Source organism: Homo sapiens, chromosome 4, assembly GCF_000001405.40.
Source record: "Homo sapiens chromosome 4, GRCh38.p14 Primary Assembly".
In the NCBI taxonomy this organism is placed as follows: Eukaryota; Metazoa; Chordata; class Mammalia; order Primates; family Hominidae; genus Homo; species Homo sapiens.
This window is the reverse complement of record NC_000004.12, coordinates 39,998,215-40,021,896: the sequence shown is the minus strand read 5'-3', so window position 1 is coordinate 40,021,896 and position 23,682 is coordinate 39,998,215. Positions and strand designations below refer to the sequence as shown.

Genomic DNA, 23,682 nt, shown 5'->3' with positions numbered 1-23,682 from the left:
CGGGAGGCTGAGGCAGGAGAATGGCCTGAACCCGGGATGCGGAGCTTGCAGTGAGCTGAGATTGCGCCACTGCACTCCAGCCTGGGCGACAGAGCGAGACTCCGTCTCAAAAAAAAAAAAAATACAAAAATTTGCTGGGCGTGGTGGAGTGTGCCTGTAGTCCCAGCTGCTCCAGAATGTGAGGTAGGAGAATTGCTTGAACCCGGGAGGTGGAGGTTGCAGTGAGCCGAGATCGCCCCACTGCACTCCAGCCTGGGTAACAGAGCAAGATTCCATCTCAAAAAAACCAAAAATCTTAAAAATATTTATTTATTTTATCTCTGAGCTTATTATTGGCCTCCTGCTCCCCAAAGGGTACCCTGCTTCTTCTGGCTTAACGTCTCAGAACTTTGGTGTCATTGGTCTCAGACACCACTTTGCCATCCACTATCCTGCGGGTGGTGGTCTTTTGGATGGTTTGCATGGAGTTGTCCAGGGCATCACCAAGATTGAAGTCCTTGCCGTCTTCCAGCAGGCAGGTAGGTGGCAATCTCAGCCTCTAGCTTGACCTTGATATTCAGCAGGGCCTCCTACTCCTGGGCCTGGCACTGTCCCTCTGCCCGGGTCTGTGCCAGCTCTGACTCCAGGTGCAGCAGGATCCCGTTGAGCTGCTCCATCTGCAGGGTGTACCGGGCCTCCATCTCCCTCAGGCTGTTCTCCAAGCTGGCCTTCAGATTTCTCATGGAGTCCAGGTCGATCTCCAAGGACTGGACTGTATGTCTCAGCTCCGTGAGCAGCATCTCAGCAGCTCCAACCTTGGCGGTCTGCGTGGTGACCACTGTGGTCTCTCCTCAATCTGCTGAGACCAGTACTTGTCTAGGTCCCCTCAGTTCTTTCAAGCCAGCTCATCATATTGGGCCTGGATGTCTGCTATGATCCTGGCAAGGTCCTGAGATTTGGGGTCATCTACCTCCACGGTCAACCCAGAGCTGGCAGTCTGAGCTTGTAGACCTTTTACTTAATCTTTGTGGTTCTTCTTCATGAAGACCAGCTCCTCCTTGAGAGCCTCGATCTCTGTCTCCAGCTGCAGCCAAGTGACATTGGTGTCATCAGTGAGCTTGCAGAGCCCATGGATGTAGTTCTTTACAGACTGGCACAGGGCCAGCTCTGTCTCATACTTGACTCCAAAGTCATTAGCAGCAAGACGGGCATTGTTGATCTACAGAAAGATGAAGGCATTGTCCACAGTATTTGCGAAGATCTGAGCCCTCAGGTCCTCGATGGTCTTGAAGTAATGGCTCCAGACTCTGACCTGGAGTCCCTTCTTCTCCAGATGCTCCCGGATTTTGCTCTCCAGCTTCCAGTTCTCGGTCTCCAAGCTCCTCACTCTGTCCAGGTAGGAGGCCAGGCGGTCGTTCAGGCTTTGCATGGCCTCCTTATAGTTCTGGGTGCCTCCCATTCCTGCCAGACCCCCGGCCATCCCAGCAGCCAGGCCCTGGAACCCAATGCCGAGCCGGAAGCTGGTGGAACGGGACACGGAGATCCAGGAACCAGAGCCCCCGGCACCTGCATAGATGCTGGCAGAGCTGCTGACTGGCCGAGCGCCGTAGCTGGGCACCTGGACAGAGCTCAGGGACCAGTAGCTGGTGGAGAAGGTGGAACGAATGGTGAAGCTCATTCTGTCCGGGGAGGAGTGAGAGGACAGGACTCAGGCTTTGCCGATGACTATTTATTTATTTTTTTAATTTATTTATTTATTAAGATGGAGTCTTGCTCCGTAGCCCAGGCTGGAGTGCAGTGGCGTGATCTCAGCTCACTGCAACCTCCGCCTCCCAGACTCAAGTGATTCTCATGCCTCAGCCTCCCAAGTAGCTGGGATTACAGATGTGTGCCACCACACCTGGCTAATTTTTTTTTTTAGTAGAGACAGGGTTTCACCATGTTGGCCAGGCTGATCTAAAACTCTTGACTTCAGGTGATCCTCAGGCATGAGCCACCACGCCCAGCCAAAAATATTTCTGTTTTTGATTCACTATTCATTCTTTTGAGATTTGTATTATGTGAACAGTATTAAATATGGGCAAGGCTTTATATATAACCATCTTTATTTTGGTCTTATTTATAAGGACAAAAGATGATCTAAATATCCAATAAAAAGGAAACATCAGTATATTAAGATGAGGTAAACTGTGCTTTCTTTCCCAAATCCAGCTTATCATCAGAATCCCCTGAGGAACTTTTATAAAAATAGAGATTTATGGGTCTTACTCTTGAGCTACTAAGTTAAGATCTCTGGGAGTGGAAATAGATTTCTCTCCCTCTCTCTTTTTTTTTTTTTTTTTTGGACAGAGTCTCACTCCCTCACCCAGTCTGGAGTTCAGTGGCTCGATCTCAGCTCACTGCAACCTCTGCCTCCCAGATTCAAATGATTCTTGTGTTTCAGCCTCCCAAGTGGCTGAGAGTACAGGTGCGCGCCACCACACCTGGCTAAGTTTTGTATTTGTAGTAGAGATGTGGTTTTCCCAGGTTGGCTAGGCTGGTCAAAAGCTCAAAAGATCTGCCTGCCTTAGCCTCCCAAAGTGTTGGGATTACAGGCGTGAGCCACCGTGCCAGCCAGATTTTTCTCTTTCATGATTAGCTGGGCTTTGGAACCACTGGGTTTAGTGGGAAGAATACAGATTCTGAAGACTGACCTTGCTGCTTGTCAGCTCTGTAACCTCAGGCAAATAAGTTTTCAGCCTTCCCTGAAGTCACTTTCCTCATCTGTAAAATACGAATCTCTGGAGGTGCTAATTACTGAATAAAATGATGTCTATAAAGCACCTGACATGCACATTAAGTAATTGCTATTATTGTTGGTATATTGGCACTATAGAATATTATACAGCTACTAAAATTAATCTTCCTGAAAAAAAAACATTGTTCTTCTCCTATGTATCAAAGTCCTAGAAGAAAGGACATGGTACACTCAAACTGGGTAATTTGAGGCGATTTAGCAAAGGGATCATTTGCAAAAGGTTTAGGGAAACCAATAAAGATTATTGCAGAACTTGGCCGGGCCCGGTGGCTCACACCCGTAATCCCAGCACTTTGGGAGGCAGAGGCGGGCAGATCACGAGGTCAGGAGATCAAGACCATCCTGGCGAACACGGTGAAACCCCGTCTTTACTAAAAATACAAAAAAAAATTAGCCGGGCGTGGTGGTGGGTGCCTGTAGTCCCAGCTACTCAGGAGGCTGAGGCGGGAGAATGGCGTTAACCCGGGAGGCGGAGCTTGCAGTGAGCCGAGATTGCGCCACTGCACCCCAGCCTGGGCGACAGAGAGAGACTCCGTCTCAAAAAAAAAAAAAGATTATTGCAGAACTTGTTGCAGCTGTCTATCAACAGCAGTTATCAAACATAGGCTGAAATGGAGATCCCAAGAAAGAGCATCTGAGAAGAGGTGAGACCTTCAGTAAAGGGGCACAGCCAACCCACCCCACTCCCTCAAAGGAGAAGGGAAATTAATACCCTATCATAGTGTCCCCATTAGGTAAACCCAAATAGAAGAGCTCAATAGAATCCATTGATGGAGTCCTCATGAGTCCCTCCTGAGACACAAAGCAGAATGAAGAAGAGAAGAGAGGCTCTGGACTAAAGAAGAGTACAAATCATCAGCTGGGCGCGGTGGCTCACACCTGTAATCCCAGCACTTTGGGAGGCCAAGGCAGGTGGAGCACCTGAGCCCAGGAGTTCAAGATCAGCCTGGTCAACATGGTGAAACCTCCTCTCTACAAAAAATACAAAAATTAGTCAGGCGAGGTGGTGCACACCTGTAATCCCAGCTACTAAGGCAGGGGGCTGCATGACAGAGCAAGATCTGGTCTAAAAAATAAAAATAAAAAATAACATACAAATCACATACATAAGTATTTCCACTGGGTACAAATATCCATAGAAATTTTATTGTAAGTAAATACTTCAACATTTTAATATCGGTTGCCTTTGGAAGATGGATTATTGATTACCTTTTCTTGCTCTTTCTAATTTTTTGAATTTTCTAAAGTTTCAACCACAATAATAGTATTTATTGAATATTATTGAATACTTACTGCTCTATGTATTTATGGGTGTATATAAATACATTTCATCTTTTTTTTTTTTTTTTGAGATGGAATCTCACTCTGTCTCCCAGGCTGGAGTGCAGTGGCATGATCTCGGCTCACAGCAACTTCTGCCCCCCAGGTTCAAGCGATTCTTCTGTCTCAGGCTCCCGAATACCTGGGGCTACAGGCGTGCACTACCACTCCCAGCTGATTTTTGTATTTTTATTGTTATTGTTTTTTTTTTTTTTTTTTTTTTTTTGGAGACAGAGTCTCACTTGACATGTCACCCAGTCTGGAGTGCAGTCATGCGATGTTGGCTCACCGCAACCTCCACCTCCTGGCTTCAAGAGATTCTCCTGCCTCAGCCTCCCAAAAAGCTAAGATTAGAGGCTGGGCGTTGGAACCATGGGCTGGGCTTTGCCAGCTAATTTTTGTATTTTTAGTAGAGATGGAGTTTTACCATGTTGGCCAGGCTGGTCTCAAACTCCTGACCTCAGGTGATCTGCCTGCCTCAGCCTCCCAAAGTGCTGGGATTACAGGTGTGAGCCACTGCGCCTGGCTAATTTTTGTACTTTTAGTAGAGATGGGTTTTCACCATCTTAGCGAGGCTGGTTTCGAACTCCTGCCCTCAAGTGATCTGCTGTCCTCAGACTCCCAAAGTGTTGGGATTACAGGCTTAAGCCACTGCACCTGGCCCATTTCATCTTCGTAGCAACCCTATGAGGTAGGTACTATTATCATCCTCACATTATGGACAACAAAATTCCAACTAGAGAGGTTAAGTGACATCCAAAGTTGTATAACCGCAAGTAAACTATGGAGCCATGACTTAAATATAGCCATTCTGCTACAGTCTTCGTACTTTTAAAAACACTACTTTGTTATGTTCACGGTAGGTAACAAGAAAGATCTTTGGCCGGGTGCGATGGCGCACACCTGTAATCCCAGCACTTTGAGAGGCCAAGGCGGGCGGATCATGAGGTCAGGAGATCGAGACCATCCTAGCTAACACGGTGAAACCCCGTCTCTACTAAAAATACAAAAAAATTAGCCGGGTGTGGTGGCAGGTGCCTGTAGTCCCAGCTACTTGGGAGGCTGAGGCAGGAGAATGGCGTGAACCCAAGAGGCAGAGCTGGCAGTGAGCTGAGAATGTGCCACTGCACTCCAGCCTGGGGGACAGAGCGAGACTCCATCTCAAAAAAAAAAAAAAAAAAAAGAAAGATCTTTACTTGGGGAAAAATAATTAATGTTTTTTGGTTTTTTGGTGTGTCTGTGAGACAGGGTGTTTCTCTGTAGCCCAGGTTGGAGCGCAGTGAGTCACTACAACCTCAACCTCCGAGGCACAAGCTATCCTCTTACCTCAGCCTCTCAAGTAGCTGGGACTAAAGGTATGCTTCACCATGCCTGGCTAACTTTTCCTTTTCTTTTTTCTTTTTTTTTTTTGAGATAGAGTTTCCTTCTGCTGCCCAGGCTGGAGTACAGTGGCACGGTCTCAGTCCACTACAGCCTCAACCTCCTGGGCTCAAGCAATCTTTCCACCTCAACCTCCCAAGTAACTGAGATTACAGGCAGGCACCATCATGCCTGGCTAGTTTTTGTATGTAGAGATGGGGTCTCACTACATTGCCCAGGCTGGTCTCAACCTCCTGGGCTCAAGCAATCCTCCTATCTGGGCCTCCAAAAGTGCTAAGATTATAGGCGTGAGCCACCATGCCCAGCCCACTTTAATTTGTTTTAAAGAAAAACATTTTTATTGTATATTTTCCTGGTATTCAATAAATATTAAAAACATACAATGATATAATACTATGTATAATAAACTGTAATAGATAATAAAAATATGTATAGTTTTGATTCACTAATCTCATTTCTTCTTCCTTTGTAATAAAATCCTGGCTGGGCACAGTGGCTCATGCCTGTAATCCCAGCAATCTGGGAGGCCAAGGTAGGTGGATCATTGAGGTCAGGAGTTCAAGACCAGCCTGGCCAACATGGTGAAACCCTGTCTCTACTAAAAATACAAAAAAAATTAGCCTGGTGGCTGGGCACGGTGGCTCACGCCTGTAATCCCAGCACTGTGGGAGACCGAGGCAGGCGGATCACTTGAGGTCAGGAGTAGACGTCCAGGAGTTCGAGACCAGCCTGGCCAACATGGCGAAACCCCTCCTCTACTAAAAACACAAAAATTACCTTTTCTTGCTCTTTCTAATTGTTTGAATTTTCTAAAGTTTCAACCACAATAATAGTATTTATTAAATATTATTGAATACTTACTGTATTTATGTATTTATGTATTAAATACAGTAAGTATTATGAATACTTACTGTATTTATGTATATACACCCATAAATCTATGTATTTATGGGTGTATAAATACATTTCATCTTTTTTTTTTTTCAGAGGGAATCTCACTCTGTCTCCCAGGCTGGAGTGCAGTGGCATGATCTCGGCTCACTGCAACTTCCGCCTCCCAGGTTCAAGCGATTCTTCTGTCTCAGGCTCCCGAATACCTGGGGCTACAGGCGTGCACCACCACTCCCAGCTGATTTTTGTATTTTTATTGTTATTGTTTTTTTTTATTTTTTGGAGACAGAGTCTCACTTGACATGTCACCCAGTCTGGAGTGCAGTGCTGCAATGTTGGCTCCTCTAAAAACACAAAAATTGTTGGGCGTGGTGGCTCACACCTGTAATCCCAGCACTTTGGGAGGCCGAGGTGGGCGGATCACGAGGTCAAGAGTTCGAGACCATCCTGGCCAACATGGTGAAACCCCATCTCTACTAAAAGTACAAAATTAGCCAGGTGTGGTGGTGCATGTCTGTAATCCCAGCTACTCAGGAGGCTGAGGCAGGAGAATCACGTGAACCTGGGAAGCAGAGGTTGCAGTGAGCCGAGATCGCACCATTGCACTCCAGCCTGGGCAACAACAGCGAAACTCCGTCTCAAAAAAAAAAAAAAAATTAGTGGGGCACAGCTGGGCGTGGTGGCCCACGTCTGTAATCTCAGCACTTTGGGAGGCTGAGATGGGCAGATCACAAGGTCAGGAGTTCAAGACCATCCTGGCCAACATGGTGAAACCCCATCTCTACTAAAAATACAAAAAAATTAGCTGGACATGGTGATAGGCGCCTGTAATCCCAGCTACTCGGGAGGCTGAGGCAGGAGAATCTCTTGAAAACAGAAGGTGGAGGTTGCAGTGAGCCGAGATCACACCACTGCACTCCAGCCTGGGCGAAAGAGCAAAACTCTGTCTCAAAAAAAAAAAGAAAGAAATAGTGGGGCATGGTGGCACATGCCTGTAATCCCAGCTACTCAGGAGGCTGAGACAGAAGAATCACCTGAACCTGGGAGGCGGAGGTTGCAGTGAGCCAAGATCATTCCATTGCATTCCAGCCTGGGCAACAGAGAAAGACTACATCTAAAAACAAAAACAAAAACAAAAAAAATTAGCAGACGGACATGGTGGCTCACTCCTATAATCCCAGCACTTTGGGAGGCCAAGGCGGGCAGATCACCTGAGGTTGGGAGTTCAAGACCAGCCTGACCAACCTGGAGAAACACCGTCTTTACTGAAAATACAAAATTAGCAAGGCGTGGTGATGCATGCTTGTAATCCCAGCTACTTGGGAGGCTGAGGCAGGAGAATTGCTTGAACCCATGGGGCGGAGGTTGCAGTGAGCCAAGATCACGCCATTGCACTCCAGCCTGGGCAACAAGGACAAAACTCCATTCCCAGAAAAACAAATTAGCCTGGCATGGTTTTGGGCCCCTGTAGTCCCTGCTACTTGGGAGGCTGAAGCAGGAGAATTGCTTAAGTCCAGGAGGTAGATGTTGTACTGAGCCAAGATTGCATCACTGCACTCAACCCTGGGTGACAGAGCAAGACTCTGTCTCAAAAAAATACAATAGGCTGGGCACGATGGCTCACACCTGTAATCCCAGCACTTTGGGAGGCCGAGGCAGGCGGATCACCTGAGGTCAGAAGTTTGAGACCAGACTGGCCAACATGGTGAAACCCCATCTCTACTAAAAATACAAAATTAGCCTAGTGTGGTGGCACATGACTGTAATCCCAGCTACTAGGGAGGCTGAGGCAGGAGAATCACTTGAACCCGGGAAGAGGAGGTTGCGGTGACCCGAGATAGCACCATCATACTCCAGCCTGGGCTCCGTCTCAAAAAAATTTTGAGACGGAGTTTCGCTCTTGTTGCCCAGGCTAGAGTGCAACGGCACGATCTCGGCTCACTGCAACCTCCGCCCCCTGGGTTCAAGCCATTCTCCTGCCTCAGCCTCCCAAGTAGCTGGGATTACAGTCATGCGCCACCGCACCCAGCTAATTTTTGTATTTTTTTTAGTAGAGACAGGGTTTCTCCATGTTGGTCAGGCTAGTCCCGAACTCCTGACCTCAGGTGATCCGCCTACCTCGGCCTCCCAAGTGCTGGGATTACAGGCGTGAGCCACCGCACCCAGCCAAAATTTTTTTTAATTTAAAAAAATAAAAAAGAACAAAAAAAGGAGAGAGAAACTAAAAGAAAAAATAAATAAAATAAAATAAGGCCGGGCACAATGGCTCACACCTATAATCCCAGCACTTTGGGAGGCCAAGGCGGGAGGATCACCTGAGCTCATCAGTTCAAAACCAGCCTGGCCAACATGGTGAAACCCTGTCTGTACAAAATACAAAAATGAGTTGGGTGTGGTGGTGGGCGCCTGTAATCCCAGCTATGGAGAGGCTGAGGCAGGAGAATCACTGGCACCCGGGAGGCCGAGGTTGCAATGAGTGGAGATCACACCACGGCACTCCACCCTGAGCAACAGAGCAAGATTCTGTCACAAAATAAAATAAAATTCCTAGTTTTCTTTGATTTGTTTTGTTTTGTTTTGTTTTGTTTTTTGTTTTTTGAGATGAGGTCTTGCTCAGTCGCCCAGGCTGGAGTACAGTGGCGCAATATCAACTCACTGCAACCTCCACCTCCTGGGTTCAAGCAATTCTCCTGCCTCAGCCTCCCAAGTAGCTGGGATTACAAGCGCCCACCACCACGTCCAGCTAATTTTTGTATTTTTGATAGAGTCAGGGTTTCACCATGTTGGCCAAGATGGTCTAGATCTCCTGACCTGGTGATCCACCCGCCTTGGCCTCCCAAAGTGCTGGGATTACAGGTGTGTGCCACTGAGCCAGGCCTTGTTTTTTTTTTTTTTTTTTTTTTTTTTGAGATGGAGTCTTGCTCTGTCACCCAGACTGGAGTGCAGTAGTGCAGTGGTGCTATCTCGGCTCACTGTAAGCTCCGCCTCCTGGGTTCATGCCATTCTCCTGCCTCAGCCTCCCAAGTAGCTGGGACTACAGGCACCCGCCACTATGCCCGGCTAATTTTTTGTATTTTTAGTAGAGACGGGGTTTCACCGTGTCAGCCAGGGTGGTCTTGATCTCCTGACCTAGTGATCTGCCCTCTCGGCCCCCCAAAGTGCTGAGTGCTGGGATTACAGGAGTGAGCCACTGCGCCCGGCAGGCCTTGTATTTTTTTAAATAAAGTTCCAGATGTAATGCTGAGGGGCACCTCCAGTTGAGGGCGAGTCCCAGAATGGCACCAATTTGGAGATGGATTTAGAAAGAGTCATCTCAAAGGCCTAGAAAACTACTCATGTTATTCTATGTGCTCCCTAAATATGTAGTGAAGATGGAGTCGGCATTTTTTTTTTTTTTTTGAGACTGAGTCTTGCTCTGTTGCCCAGGCTGGAGTGCAGTGGTGTGACCTCAGCTCACTGCAACCTCCACCTCCCAGGTTCAAGCAATTCTCCTGCCTCAGCCTCCCAAGTAGCTGGTATCACAGGTGCCCGCTACCACACCTGGCTTTTTTTTTTTTTTTTTTTGTATTTTTAGTAGAGATGGGGGTTTCACCATGTTGGCCAAGTTGGTCTCGAACTTCTGACCTCAAGTGATCTGTCCGCCTCGGCCTCCCAAAGTGCTGAGTGCTGGGATTACAGGAGTGAGCCACCACACCCAGCAGGCAATTTTTTTTTTTTAATAGAGATGGAGTCTCGCTATATTGCCCATGCTGATCTCAAACTCCCAGACTCAAGGGATCTTCCCACCTTGCGTTCCCAAAGTGCTGGCATTACAGGCATGAGCCGCCATTACTGGCCTCAGAACACCACTTTAAAGACCATGTGCTGGGTCAGGGGAGGTGGCTCACGCCTGTAATCCCAGCACTTTGGGAGTCCAAGGAAGGCAGATCACGAGGTCAGGAGATCGAGACCATCCTGGCTAACACAGTGAAACCCCGTCTCTACTAAAAATACAAAAAATTAGCCGGGCATGGTGGCGTGTGCCTGTAGTCCCAGCTACTCGGGAGGCTGAGGCAGGAGAATGGCATGAACCCAGGAGGCGGAGCTTACAGTGAGCCGAGATCACACCACTGCACTCTAGCCTGGGTGACAGAGTGAGACTCCGTCTCGAAAAAATAAGTAAATAAAATTAAAAAAAATAAAGACCATGTGCCTACCTCCCAAGAGTTTAGAGAAAAGTACCTCCTCAGTGATGCCAACTGAGGGATCAAATTCAACCTAAGCTGGATAGACATTCTTTCTGGGATAGCCTCGTATTGTAGCCATTCCTTTGATACGCTTCTGCACAGTGTCCTGGCTACTGGTCTGCATCCTACCTGCCATGTTCTCACTTCATTATTGAAAACCCTCTTCAAATGGCGGCTCTCTGGCTGGACATGGTGGCTCACACATGTAATCGCAGCACTTTGGGAGGCCAAGGCAAAAGGGTCACTTGAGCCCAGGCATTTGACACCAGCCTGGGCAACATGGTGAAACCCTGTCTCTACAAAAAATACAAAAATTAGCTGGGCATGGTGGTGCATGCCTGTGGTCCCAGCTACTGGGGAGGCTGAGGCAGCAGCATCATCTGAGCCTGGGAGGTGGAGGCTGTAGTGACCCCCAATTGCACCACTGCACTCCAGCCTGGGCAACAGAGTGAGACTCTGTCTCAGAAAAATAAATAGGCCAGGTGCAGTGGCTCACGCCTGTAATTCCAGCACTTTGGGAGGCCGAGGCAGGCGGATCACCTAAGGTCAGGCGTTCGAGACCCAGCCTGGCCAACATGGTGAAACCCCATCTCTACTAAAAATACAAAAAATTAGCCACGTATGGTGGCACGTGCCTGTAATCCCAGCTACTCCGGAGGCTGAGGCAGGAGAATCACTTGAACCCGGGAGGCAGAGGTTGCCATGAGCCGAGGTCATGCCATTGCACTCCAGCCTGGGCAACAAGAGCAAAACTGTCTCAAAATAAATAAATAAATAAATAAATAAATAATCTCATGAGATAGTTACTATTATTTATCTCTATATCTTAGGAGAAGACATGAAAAAACAGAAATGCTAAGCAGCTAGCAAGCTATAGAACCAGAGTTTGCTGGCTCTAAAATGCAGGCTCTTTCTAACTCACTATGATGTGACTTTAATCAGGCAAAAAATATAATCCTTTTTGAAATTTATACATATGAGGTCGGATGCGGTGGCTCACGCCTGTAATCCCACTACTTCGGGAGGCCGAGGCGGGTGGATCACCTGAGGTCAGGAGTTCGAGACAAGCCTGGCCAACATGGCGAAACCCTGTCTCTACTAAAAATATGAAAAATTGCCAGGCGTGGTGGCTCACGCCTGTAATCCCAGCAGTTTGGGAGGCCGAGGCGGGTGGATCACAAGGTCAGGAGATCGAGACCATCCTGGCTAACACAGTGAAACCCCATCTCTACTAAAAATACAAAAAATTAGCCAGGCATGGTGGCGGGCGCCTGTAGTCCCAGCTACTCAGGAGGCTGAGGCAGGAGAATGGCGTGAACCCAGGAAGCGGAGCTTGGATCGCGCCACTGCACTCCAGCCTGGGCGACAGAGTGAGACTCCGTCTCAAAAAGAGAAAAAGAAAAAAGAAAAATTAGCCAGGCGTGGTGGCAGGTGCCTGTAATCCCAGCTACTCAGGAGGTTGAGGCAGGAGAATCACTTGAACCCGGGAGGCAGAGGTTGCAGTGAGCCGAGATTGCACCACTACACTCCAGCCTGGGCAACAAGAGTGAAACTCTGTCTCAAAAAATAAATAAAATAAAATAAATATTACTCTGGTAAAAGCGTAAAAGAATTTGGCCCAGACATGGTGACTCATACCTGTAATTCCAGCACTTTGGGATGCCGAGGTGGGTGGATCACTTGAGGTCAGGAGTTCAAGACCAGCCTGGCCAACTTGGTGAAATCCTCTGTCTACAAATAATACAAAAAATTAGCCAGGCGTGGTGGCATGCACCTGTAATCCCAGTTACTTGGGAGGCTGATACAGGAGAATAGCTTGAATTTAGGAGGCAGAGGTTGCAGTGAGCCAAGATATTACACCACTGCACTCCAGCCAGGGAGACAGAGAGAGAGAGAGACTCTGTCTCAAAAAAGAAAGAAAAAAAAAAAAAAAAGCTGGGCCTGGTGGCTCACGCCTGTAATCCCAGCACTTTGGGAGGCCGAGGCGGGTGGATCACCTGAGGTCAGGCATTCGAGACCAGCCTGGCCAACACGGTGAAACCCTGTCTCTACTAAAAAATACAAAAATTAGCCAGGCGTGGTGGAAGGCACCTTAATCCCAGCTACTTGGGAGGCAGAGGCAGGAGAATCGTTTGATCCCAGGAGGCAGAAGTTGCAGTGAGCCGAGATCAAGCCATTGCACTCAAACCTGGGGAACAAGAGCAAGACTTCTCTCAAAAAAAAAAAGGAAGAGTAAGGGTGTGGCAGTTGGCTGGGCGCGGTGGCTCATGCCTGTAATCCCAGCACTTTGGGAGGCTGAGGTGGGCGGATCACCTGCGGTCAGGAGTTTGAGATCAGCCTGGCCAACATGGTGAAACCCTGTCTCTACTAAAAATACAAAAAAATTAGCCGGGCGTGGTGGCACATGCTTGTAATCCCAGCTACTCAGGAGGCTGAGGCAGGAGAATCGCTTGAGCCTCGGAGGCAGTGGTTGCAGTTAGCTGAGATTGTGCCACTGCACTCCAGACTGGCCAACAGAGCGAGACTTTGTCTCAAAAAAAAAAAAAAGAAAAAAAAAAGGGTGTAGCAGTGGCAAGCAGGTAAGCAGAGTGGTATGAATGATGGGTGAAGGCAAGACACGAATAAGAAGACTACTGTCTCCTTATTCTGTAGTGATCAGAATAAATGTTAGGACCTGAGCCAGGAGGGTGGCAGGAAGGATGAAAAATAGAACACAAATTGAGGGGCGGGGGAAGGAGACAGAACGATCAGGATTGAGTGACTTAAATCCTGGCCCTTGAGGCATGCCATGGAGAGGCTGGCTTGCTCCATGCTCTGTGTGTGTAACTAGTGTTGGGAGTCAGGGGCTGTGGTGATTTAGGCCAACTACAGAGAAAAGCAAAGGCAACTTACCATTTTATTGCTGATCTTCATACTTACAAGATCATACAGGAAATGCACAGGGAGCTTGGAGGGAACAGCTGTTGAGATTGCCGGAGTGGTGTGGGGAACAGGCCTACACAAACAGTACCCTGAGCCCCCACTGTCTTTCTGGCTACCCATGGTGGTGCTGAGAAAGTAACTATGGCACTGGTAGCAGACTCTCAACTTCAAAGGGAGCCATTTGAGCTTCAGCCCTTGAGTTTCCTTGGGAAACTCAGTAGTCAGGGTCCCTCCGTGGCTGACACAGCAATCAGTAAAAAGCAACTGGAGGCCGTGCATGGTGGCTCATGCCTGTAATCCCAGCACTCTGGGAAGCCAAGGTGGGCAGATTGCTTGAGCCCAAGAGTTCAAGATCAGTCTAGGCAATATAGCAAAACCCCATATCTACAAACAAAACAAATAGAATGAGCCTGTTGGTTATTTGAGGGCAATTGTTCTCAGGCCAGAGTAAACCACTGGGGTTACTGGATTTATCGTGCATATAGAAACTCTTGGGAGAAAATAAACCATCCATTAACTACAAAATGGAGTTCCAGCTATTTCATTTAAATCAGGGATCCCCAACAGGTACCGGTTCTGTCCTCAGCCTGTTAGGAACTGGGCTGCACAGCAGGAGGTGAGCAGAGGGGGAGCCAGCAAAGTTTCACCTGTATATAGAGCCGTTCCCCATCACTTGCATTAATGCCTGAGTTCACCCCCTGTCAGATCAGTGGCAGCATTAGATTCTCATAAAAGCATGAACCCTATTGTGAGGGATCAAGGTCATGTGCTCCATATGAGAATCTAATGCCTGATGATCTGTCACTGTCTCCCATCACCCCCAGATGGGACTATCTAGTTGCAGAAAAACAAGCTCAGGTCTCCCACTGATTCTACATTATGGTGAGTTGTATAATTATTTCATTATATATTACAATGTAATAATAATATAAAATACACAATAAATGTAATGTGCTTGAATCATCCCAAAACTATGCCCCCCAACCCACCACATGTCTGTGGAAAAACTGTCTTCTGTGAAACCAGTCCCTGGTGCCAAAAAGGCTGGGGACCAATGATTTAAATACCTTAAAAGATGGCCAGGAGCGGTGGCTCACGTCTGTAATCCCAGCACTTTGGGAGACCGAGGGGGGTGGATCACCTGAGGTCAGGGGTTCAAAACCAGCCTGACCAACATGGTGAAACCCCGTCTCTACTAAAAATACAAAAATAAAATTAGCCAGGCATCGTGGCAGTTGCCTGCAGTCCCAGCTACTCAGGAGACTGAGGAAGGAGAATCGCTTGAACCCCAGAGGTGGAGGTTTCAGTGAGCAGAGATTGAGCCGCTGCACTCCAGCCTGGGTAACAAAGCAAGACTTTGTCTCAAAAAAACAAAAGAAGAAATTACTTAGGCAAATAGTAAGGGTACGGAAGTCCTGGATAAGGTTTTCCTTTATTTATTTATTTTTTTTTGAGATGGAGGCTCCCTCTATTGCCCAGGCTGGAGTAAGGTGGTGCAATCTCAGCTCACTGCAACCTCTGCCTCCCAGTTTCAAGCTATTCTTCTGCCTCAGCTTCCCAAGTAGCTGGGATTACAGGCATGCACCACCACGCTCAGCTAATTTTTGTATTTTTAGTAGAGATGGGGTTTCACTATGTTGGCCAGGCTGGTCTTGAACTCCTGACCTTAAGTGATCTGCCTGCCTCAGCCTCCCAAAGTGCTGGGATCACAGGAGTGAGCCACCGCGCCCAGCCAAAGTTTTTCTTTTAATGAAAAGCAGCCCCCAAGACCAGCCTAGCCAACTGGTAAAACTCAGTCTCTACTAAAAATACAAAAATTAGCCGAGCATGGTGGTGGGCACCTGTAATCCCAGCTACTCAAGAAACTGTGGCAGGAGAATCGCTTGAACCTGGGAGGCAGAAGTTGCAGTGAGCCGAGATGGCGCCTTTGCACTCCAGCCTGGGTAACAAAAGCAAAACTCCATCAAGGAAGGAAGGAAGGAAGGAAGGAGGGAGGGAGGGAGGGAAGAAAAGCAGCCCCAAATCATTTTCCTTTCTAACAAAGAGCAGTCTATGAAATAGAGCTGCAGACATAGATGCCGGCAGTTGTGCTAGTCATGTTCAAAATGGCAGTTCCATTTTCCCTTCTCTGCCAGCCCTGTACAGTAAGGAGCAGACAAGATGGCTCCAACCAAGGGGAAAGTTCCTTTGCATAATAAGATTAGGGTGGGGACGCCAGCCTTCCCTGAGAGCTATGTAGACATCATACCTGATGGAACCAATCTGTGAGCCCTATGTAAATCAGACACCTCCAAAAAATCTCCAAAAAATCTCATAATGTTTTCAGAAAGTTCACGAATTTGTGTTGGGTTGCATTCAAAGCCATCTGGGGCTGCAGGTTGAACAAACTTGCCCCAGTTAGTGAGTGACATATAAAGTTGAGGGAATGATGGCAGGAAAAAATTAAAAAGCTTAAGAGGGGCTATCAGTTGAGGTCTTATAGGCCATGTAAGAATATATCATTATTCACTGTAATCCATTGATTCTAGAATATTGAGACATTATTTCTTTGAATATTCCATTTCATGTTATTCTCTGCTGCTAAACCACTGTTGGGCATATGTTAGCACCAGGCATGGTGGCTCCCACCTGTAATCCCAGCAATTTGAGAGACAGAGGCGGACAGATCACTTAGGCCCAATAGTTTGAGACCAACCTGGGCAACGTGGCAAAACTCCGTCTCTACTAACGATCTGTAACACTTACTTTCTTGTGGACTCAGCTGTGCATTGAAAAGAATGTGAAGGCTGGGCATGGTGGCTCAGGCCTGTAGTTCCAGAACTTTGGGAGGCCGAGGTAGGTGGATCACTTGAGGCCAGGAGTTTGAGACTAGCCTGGACAACATGGCAAAATCCCATCTCTACTAAAAATACAAAAATTAGCTAGTCGTGGTGGCACACACCTGTAATCCCAGCTACTAAGCAGGCTAAGAAAGGAAAATTGCTTGAACCCAGGAGGCTGAGATTGCAGTGAGCCAAGATCGTGGCCGTTGCACTGCAGCCTGAGTGAGAGCTAGACCCTGTCTCAAAAAAAAAAAAAAAAAAAAAAAAGAGATAAGAAGAAATATAGCAAAACAAAAAGAAATTAGCACACAAAAAGGCCTTAGGAGTCCTCCCTTGAAAGAAAATTCCTGCAAGATATGTTTCTTTTCAAAGGAAAAAAAAAGTTTTCAGCCTGGGCAACATGGAGAGTTCCCATTTCTACAAAAACAATGTAAAAATTAACTGGATGTGGCCAGGTGCGGTGGCTCAGGCCTGTAATCCCAGCACTTTGGGAGACCGAGGTGTGTGGATCACCTGAGGTGAGGAGTTCTAGACTAGCCTGCCCAATATGGCGAAACCCGGTCTCTATTAAAAATACAAAAATTAGCCGGGTATGGTGGCGGGCACCTGTAATCCCAGCTATGCGGGAGGCTGAGGCCGGAGAATCGTTTGAACCCGGGAGGCGGAGGTTGCAGTGAGCTGAGATCATGCCACTGCACTCCAGCCTGGGCAACAAGAGTGAAACTCTGTCTCAAAAAAAAAAAAAGAAAAAAAATGGGCTGGGTGGATCACGAGGTCAAGAGATCGAGACCATCCTGGCCAACATGGTGAAACCCCATCTCTACTAAAAATACAAAAATTAGCTGGGCGTGGTGGCGCACACCTGTTCCCAGCTACTCAGGAGGCTGAGGCAGCATAATCGATTGAACCCGGGAGGCAGAGGTTGCACTCCAGCCTGCTGACAGCGCGAGACTCGGTCTCAAAAAAAAAAAAAAAAATTAGCTGGACGTGGTGGTGTGCACCTGTGGTCCCAGCTACTTGGGAGGCTGAGGTGTGAGGATTGCTTGGGCCTGGGAGGTGGTGGCTGTAGTGAGCTGTGATCACGCCACTGCACTCTAGCCTAGGCAATGGAACAAGACCTTGTCTAAAAAAAAAAGTTTAAAAATACTGTCTTTGTTTATATAGAGAGAGAAATATGAAAAATTCACTGAAGACTGATATTCTTAATACTATCATATTTGTACAGTGTTGTAATTCAATTTAAAGTGACTACAGTTGTGATCATCAGAAAGCATTCCATGCATATGGGAGTAGCACTTGACCTTACACAGCCGACTCACCATTACCAGTTGTTGCAAAGCAGGGACATATCTAGCTTCTGCTGAACATGCAGATATACTAAAAGTGCCATGGGCTTGCACAGTAAGGCTAGAGTTACAGATCTTTGCTTGAGGTCAGTCCTGTGGGGGAAGTAGGAAAGAGGAAGTAGGATTAAGACTATTTGGCAGCAGATAAAGAATCTCTTCTGCAGTTAGGAATTCTTTATTAAACTTGAGGGTATAGACAAGATCAATTCCCCACCTCCAAGCATCAACAAGGACCCTTTGGTATCTGGACACCTTCCATCTCAAAGTGTGATTCATATATCAAATTTTGGTGATATGGACTCAGGCCAGGGTGATGCTATGGCCGTGCTGAATTACTTGACCCAGCTCTTTTTACCTGCAGTTGCTAGAACCCAAGTGCTTTCATGAGGTCAATGAAAGGATCAGATAGGTATTAAACTATTCCTAGCTCTTTTATTAAAATTGCTGTATAACAAAGAGTATATTCTTGCTTTTACTCTGCAGTGAGGTGGGGAAAACAGTGGACTAAAAATCTCACATCTCTTATACAAGAATGTTCATTGCAGCTCTATTCACAATGGCCAAAATCTGGAAATAACCCAAATGTCCATCAACCCGTGAATAGATAAATAGATCGTGGTATATCCTTACAATAAAATAATGCTCAGGAACAAATGCTTACAAATACAACAGCATGGATGAAATCTGAAAACATTATGCTAAGTTTTTGTTTTTGTTTTTTTTGAGACAGAGTCTTGCCCTGTCGCCCAGGCTGGAGTGCAATGGTGTGATCTCAGCTCACTGCAACCTCCATCTCCCAGGTTCAAGTAATTCTCCTGCCTCAGCCTCCCAAGTAGCTGGGATTACGGACGCACACCACCACACCCAGATAATTTTTTTGTAATTTTTAGTAGAGATGGGGTTTCACCATGTTGGCCAGGCTGGTCTCGAATTCCTGACCTCAGGTGATCCCCGTAAATCGGCCTCCCACAGTGCTAGGATTACAGGCCTAAGCCACCAGGCCCGGCCCACATTATTCTAAGTTTTAAAAGCCTTACACACAAGCATATATGTTGTATACTCTTTAAATTTCACTTATCCTGTCGGCTCTCCTTATCCATAGGTTCGTCATTCATGGATTCAACCAACCACAAATACAAAATATTCAGGCCAGGTGAGGTGGCTCATGCCTGTAATCCCAGAACTTTGGGAGGCCTAGGCAGGCAGATCACCTGAGGTCAGGAGTTTCAGACCAGCCTGACCAATGTGGAGAAAACCCGTCTGTACTAAAAATACAAAATTAGCCAGGCGTGGTGGCGCATGCCTGTAATCCCAGGTACTTGGGAGGCTGAGGCAGCAGAATCGCTTGGACCCAGGAGGCAGAGGCTGCAGTGAGCTCAAATCATGCCATAGCACTCCAGCCTGAGCAACAAGAGCGAGACTCCGTCTCAAAAAAAAAAAAATTCAGGAAATAAAAACAAAGCAGTTGGGCATGGTGGCTCAGGCCTGTAACCCCAGCATTTTGGGAGGCTGAAGCATGTGGATTGCTTGACCCCAGGAGTTTTGAGACCAGCCTGGGCAACATGGTGAAAACCCATCTCTACAAAAAATACAAAAAGTAGCCAGTCGTGGTGGCCTGAGCCTGTGGTCCCAGCTACTGGGGAGGCTGAGGTGGTAAGATCACTGGAGCCTGGGAAGTTGAGGCTGCACAGAGCCGTGATCACACCACTGCACTCCAGCCTGGGTGACAGAGCAAGACCCTGTCTCAAAAAATTAAAGTTAAAGTTTAAATGTAAACGTAAAGGCCAGGCGCAGTGGCTCACACCTGTAATCCCAGCACTTTGGGAGGCCTAGGCGGGTGGATCACGAGGTCAGGAGATTGAGACCATCCTGGCTAACACAGTGAAACCCCGTCTCTACTAAAAATACAAAAACTTAGCTGGGCGTGGCGGCGGGCTCCTGTAGTCCCAGCTACTGGGGAGGCTGAGGCAGGAGAATGGCGTGAACCTGGGAGGCGGAGCTTGCAATGAGTCGAGATCACGCCACTGCACTCCAGCCTGGGCGACAGAGCCAGACTCCGTCTCAAAAAAAAATAAAATAAATAAATAAATGTACATTTAAATTTTAAAAAATCTTTAATCTGGCCTGGTGCTTTGGCTCACACCTGTAATCCCAGCACTTTGGGAGGCTGAGGTGGGCGGATCACGGGGTCAGGAGATCGAGACCATCCTGGCTAACACAGTGAAACCCTGTCTCTACTAAAAATACAAAAAATTAGCCGGGAGTGGTGGCACGTGCCTGTAGTCCCAGCTACTCGGGAGGCTGAGGCAGGAGAATTGCTTGAACCCGGGAGGCGGAGGTTGTAGTGAGCTGATATCATGCCACTGCACTCCAGCCTGGGGGACAGAGCGAGACTCCATCTCAAAAAAAAAAAAAATGTGTAATCTTCATTTATTTATTTAGAGAGGGTCTCCTTCTGTCGCCCAGTCTCCCTCTGATGGCCTGCTGGAGTGCAGTGGTGCCGTCTTGGCTCAACACAACCTCTGCCTCTGGGATTCAAGAGATTCTGGTGCCTCAGTCTCCTGAGTAGCTGGGATTACAGGCGTGCACCACCACATCCGGCTAATTTTTGTATTGTTAGTTGAGACAGGGTTTTGCCATGTTGCCCAAGCCAGTGTCCAACTCGTGACCTCAAGTGATCTACCTGCCTCGAACTCCCAAAGTGCTGGGATGACAGGCGTGAGCCACCATGCCAGGCCTAAATATTGTATTTAAAGGAAAATTAAAAAAAAAATACAGCTCAATAGCAAGGCAAAAAAAAGATTGTTTAGAAAAACAATTTTAAAAAATACAAATAAAACTCAATACAGTATAGCAACTATTTAAATAGTATTTGCATTGTATTTGTTATTATAAGTAACCTAAATTTGATTTAAAATCTATGACAGGGGCCAGGCATGGTAGCTCATTCCTGTAATCCCAGCACTTTGGGAGGCCAAGGCACATGGATCACTTGAGGTCAGGAGTTAGAGACCAGCCTGGCTAATATAGCAAAACACCACCTCTACTAAATACAAAAATTAGCTGGGTGTAGTGGCGGGTGCCTGTAATCCCAGTTACTCAGGAGGCTGAGACAGGAGAATTCCTTGAACTCAGGAGGTGGAGGTTGCAGTGAGTCGATTTTGCGCCACTGCACTCCACCCTGGGGACCAAGTGAGACTCCGTCTCCAAAAAAAAAAAAAAAAAAAAAACAGAAAAAAGGATATGGGAGGAGGTACATCTAGTATATGCAAATACTAGGCCTCTTATATAAGGAAGTTGAGCATGCGAGGATATTTCGTGTCCATGCAGCTCTGGGAACCAATCCCCAGCAGATACTGAAGGATGACAGTATGAAGTTTCAGAACAGGCAAAATTAACTTGTTGGATTCATTCACCACTTTCCCATTGCTCATGGCACACTAGTGTCAACCTGAAATAATCAAAAGGATCAGAATCCACCTTAAAGACTTTATTCGAGCAAAAAATTGGAAATAGCCACTTGGGAGACAAAGGCTACAGGAAAATGGGGTCAGTGTTCTAAAGTTAAAAGTTAAGTTTCTTTCTTTCTATTTTTCTTTAATTTTAATTTTATTTATTTATTTTTTTTGGAGACAACATCTCGCCCTGTTGCTGAGGCTAGAGTGCAATGGTGCAATCTTTGCTCACTGCAACCGCCGCCTCCCGGCTTCAAGCGATTCTCCTGCCCCAGCCTCAGCTGGGATTACAGGCACGCTCCAACACACCTGGTTAAGACGGGGTTTCACCATGTTGGCCAGGCTGGTCTCGAACTCCTGACTTCAGATGATCCACCTGCCTCGGCCTCCCAAAGTGCTGGGATTACAGACATGAGCCACTGCGCACGGCCTTATTTTATTTTTTGAGACAGAGTCTTGCTCTGTCGCCCAAGCTGGAGTGCAGTGGCACGATTTTGGCTCACCGAAAACTCCACCCCCGCGTTCAAGTGATTCTCCTGCCTCAGCCTCCCAAGTAGCTGGGATTACAGGCGCCTGCTGCCATGCCCCACTAATTTTTTGTATTTTTAGTAGAGATGGGGTTTTCCCATGTTGGCCAGGCTGGTCTCAAACTCCTGATCTCACGTGATCCTCCTGCCTCAGCCTCCCAAAGTGCTGGGATTACAGGCGTGAGCCACCGCGCCTGGCCAGTTTTTAATTTTTTTTAAGAGATGAGATCTTACTATATTGCCCAGGCTGGTGTCAAACTCCCAGGCCCACAAGATCCTCCTGCCTTGGCCTCCCAAAGTACTGAGATTACAAGCATGAGCCACTGCACCCTGCCTTTAAATTCCTTCTTACAAAGACAGAAGAAAACAAGTTTAGTAGGATTATAACATTTTATATACTAGCCTGGTTTATGAATTACAACAATTTAATTAGTTATAGTTTACTTTTTTTCCCATATGGCTTGTTTTCTTTTTTCTTGCTTTTCTTTTTTTTTTTTTTTTTTTTGAGACGGAGTCTCGCTTCGTCGCCCAGGCGGCTGGAGTGCAGTGGCGCGATCTCGACTCCCTGCAAGCTCCGCCTCCCGGGTTCAAGCCATTCTCCTGTCTCAGTCTCCTGAGTAGCTAGGACTACAGGCGCCTGCCACCGCGCCTGGCTAATTTTTTGTATTTTTAGTAGAAACGGGGTTTCACCATGTTAGCCAAGATGGTCTCGATCTCCTGACCTCGTGATCCGCCTGCCTCGGCCTCCCAAAGTGCTGGGATTACAGGCGTGAGCCACTGCGCCCGGCCGCTTTTCTTTTTTTTTTTTTCTTTAGACAAAGTCTCACTCTGTTGCCCAGGCTGGAATGCACTGGTGCAAACTTGGCTCACTCCAACCTCTGTTTCCCAGGTTCAAGCAATTCTCCTGCCTTAACCTCCCAAGTAGCTGGGACCACAGGTGGTCTGCCACCACACCCAGCAAATATTTGTATTTTCAGTAGAGACGGAGTTTCACCGTATTGGCCAGGCTAGTCTGGAACTCTTGGCCTCAAGTGATCCGCCCACCCTGGCCTCCCAAAGTGTTGGGATTACAGGCATGAGCCACCACTCCCAGCCTGTTTTCTTTTCTTTGTGCTAGTTTTCATTACCTTTCCAATTTAAAAGAATGTACTTAACATTCCATCTTAAGAGGATGTGATAGCCATGAAGTCTTTGTGTGAGAAAAGTAAGAGGGAAGTTAATCTATAATGAAGATTAACTGTGAAGAGGGAAGAGGTCTGCCCTGGCCCTTTTAGTCCTTTGCAGTATTTTAAAAACAATGTAGATAAGGAATAAGAATAATCTATAATCAGAGAAACAAAGTTTCTAGTTGCCTAGGTAACAGCTGCCTGTCACATGATTCAGGCCTTATAATCTCTCTCCTTTAAGGCTCAAAATAATTTACAGTTCCAACATGCTAGATTTTAAATTTATTTTCACAGTAGCTACGCTAGCTTTTTTTTTTTTTTTTTTTTTTTTTTTTTTTTTGAAACAGAGCCTCGTTCTGTCTCCCAGGCTGGAATGCAGTGGCGCGATATCGGCTCACTGCAAGCTCCGCCTCCCGGGTTCACGCCATTCTCCTGCCTCAGCCTCCTGAGTAGCTGGGACTACAGGCGCCCGCCACCACGCCCAGCTAATTTTTTTTTTTTTTGTATTTTTAGTAGAGACGGGGTTTCACCGTATTAGCCAGGATGGTCTCGATCTCCTGACCTCGTGATCTGCCTGCCTCGGCCTCCCAAAGTGCTGGGATTACAGGCGTGAGCCACTGTGCCCGGCCTTTTTTTTTATTTTTTTATTTTTTTGTTCTTTGAAGTTAACAAGTACTTTCCTACCTCAGAGCCTTTTGTTCTGCTATTCCCCCAAAATAGGTTATTCTTTCTTCCCCTTTTAATCTGGATTACTACCCCAATTTAGACATCCTGTTTTTCAAGGAATCTTTCTGGTTAGCTCTCTTGCACTTATTTTTTGTCATAATTATACTAATTATAAATAAGTAATA

The 23,682-nt window shown here is 46.9% G+C and overlaps 1 pseudogene, besides 4 other annotated features; it reads right to left on the bottom strand.

The window, feature by feature from the left end:
- On the bottom strand, positions 319 to 1,705 carry KRT18P25 (keratin 18 pseudogene 25; annotated as a pseudogene).
- Positions 20,377 to 20,890: an enhancer, noted in NCBI's record as "H3K27ac hESC enhancer chr4:40002627-40003140 (GRCh37/hg19 assembly coordinates)". NCBI's record gives its function as "activates a minimal SCP1, AML or CMV promoter by ChIP-STARR-seq in primed H9 embryonic stem cells {active_cell/tissue: H9 hESC(primed)}" and the evidence as "EXISTENCE:reporter gene assay evidence [ECO:0000049][PMID:30033119]".
- Positions 20,891 to 21,406: an enhancer, noted in NCBI's record as "H3K27ac-H3K4me1 hESC enhancer chr4:40002111-40002626 (GRCh37/hg19 assembly coordinates)". NCBI's record gives its function as "activates a minimal SCP1, AML or CMV promoter by ChIP-STARR-seq in naive H9 embryonic stem cells {active_cell/tissue: H9 hESC(naive)}" and the evidence as "EXISTENCE:reporter gene assay evidence [ECO:0000049][PMID:30033119]".
- Positions 21,407 to 21,920: an enhancer, noted in NCBI's record as "H3K27ac-H3K4me1 hESC enhancer chr4:40001597-40002110 (GRCh37/hg19 assembly coordinates)". NCBI's record gives its function as "activates a minimal SCP1, AML or CMV promoter by ChIP-STARR-seq in naive H9 embryonic stem cells {active_cell/tissue: H9 hESC(naive)}" and the evidence as "EXISTENCE:reporter gene assay evidence [ECO:0000049][PMID:30033119]".
- Positions 22,558 to 23,062: an enhancer, noted in NCBI's record as "NANOG-H3K27ac hESC enhancer chr4:40000455-40000959 (GRCh37/hg19 assembly coordinates)". NCBI's record gives its function as "activates a minimal SCP1, AML or CMV promoter by ChIP-STARR-seq in primed H9 embryonic stem cells {active_cell/tissue: H9 hESC(primed)}" and the evidence as "EXISTENCE:reporter gene assay evidence [ECO:0000049][PMID:30033119]".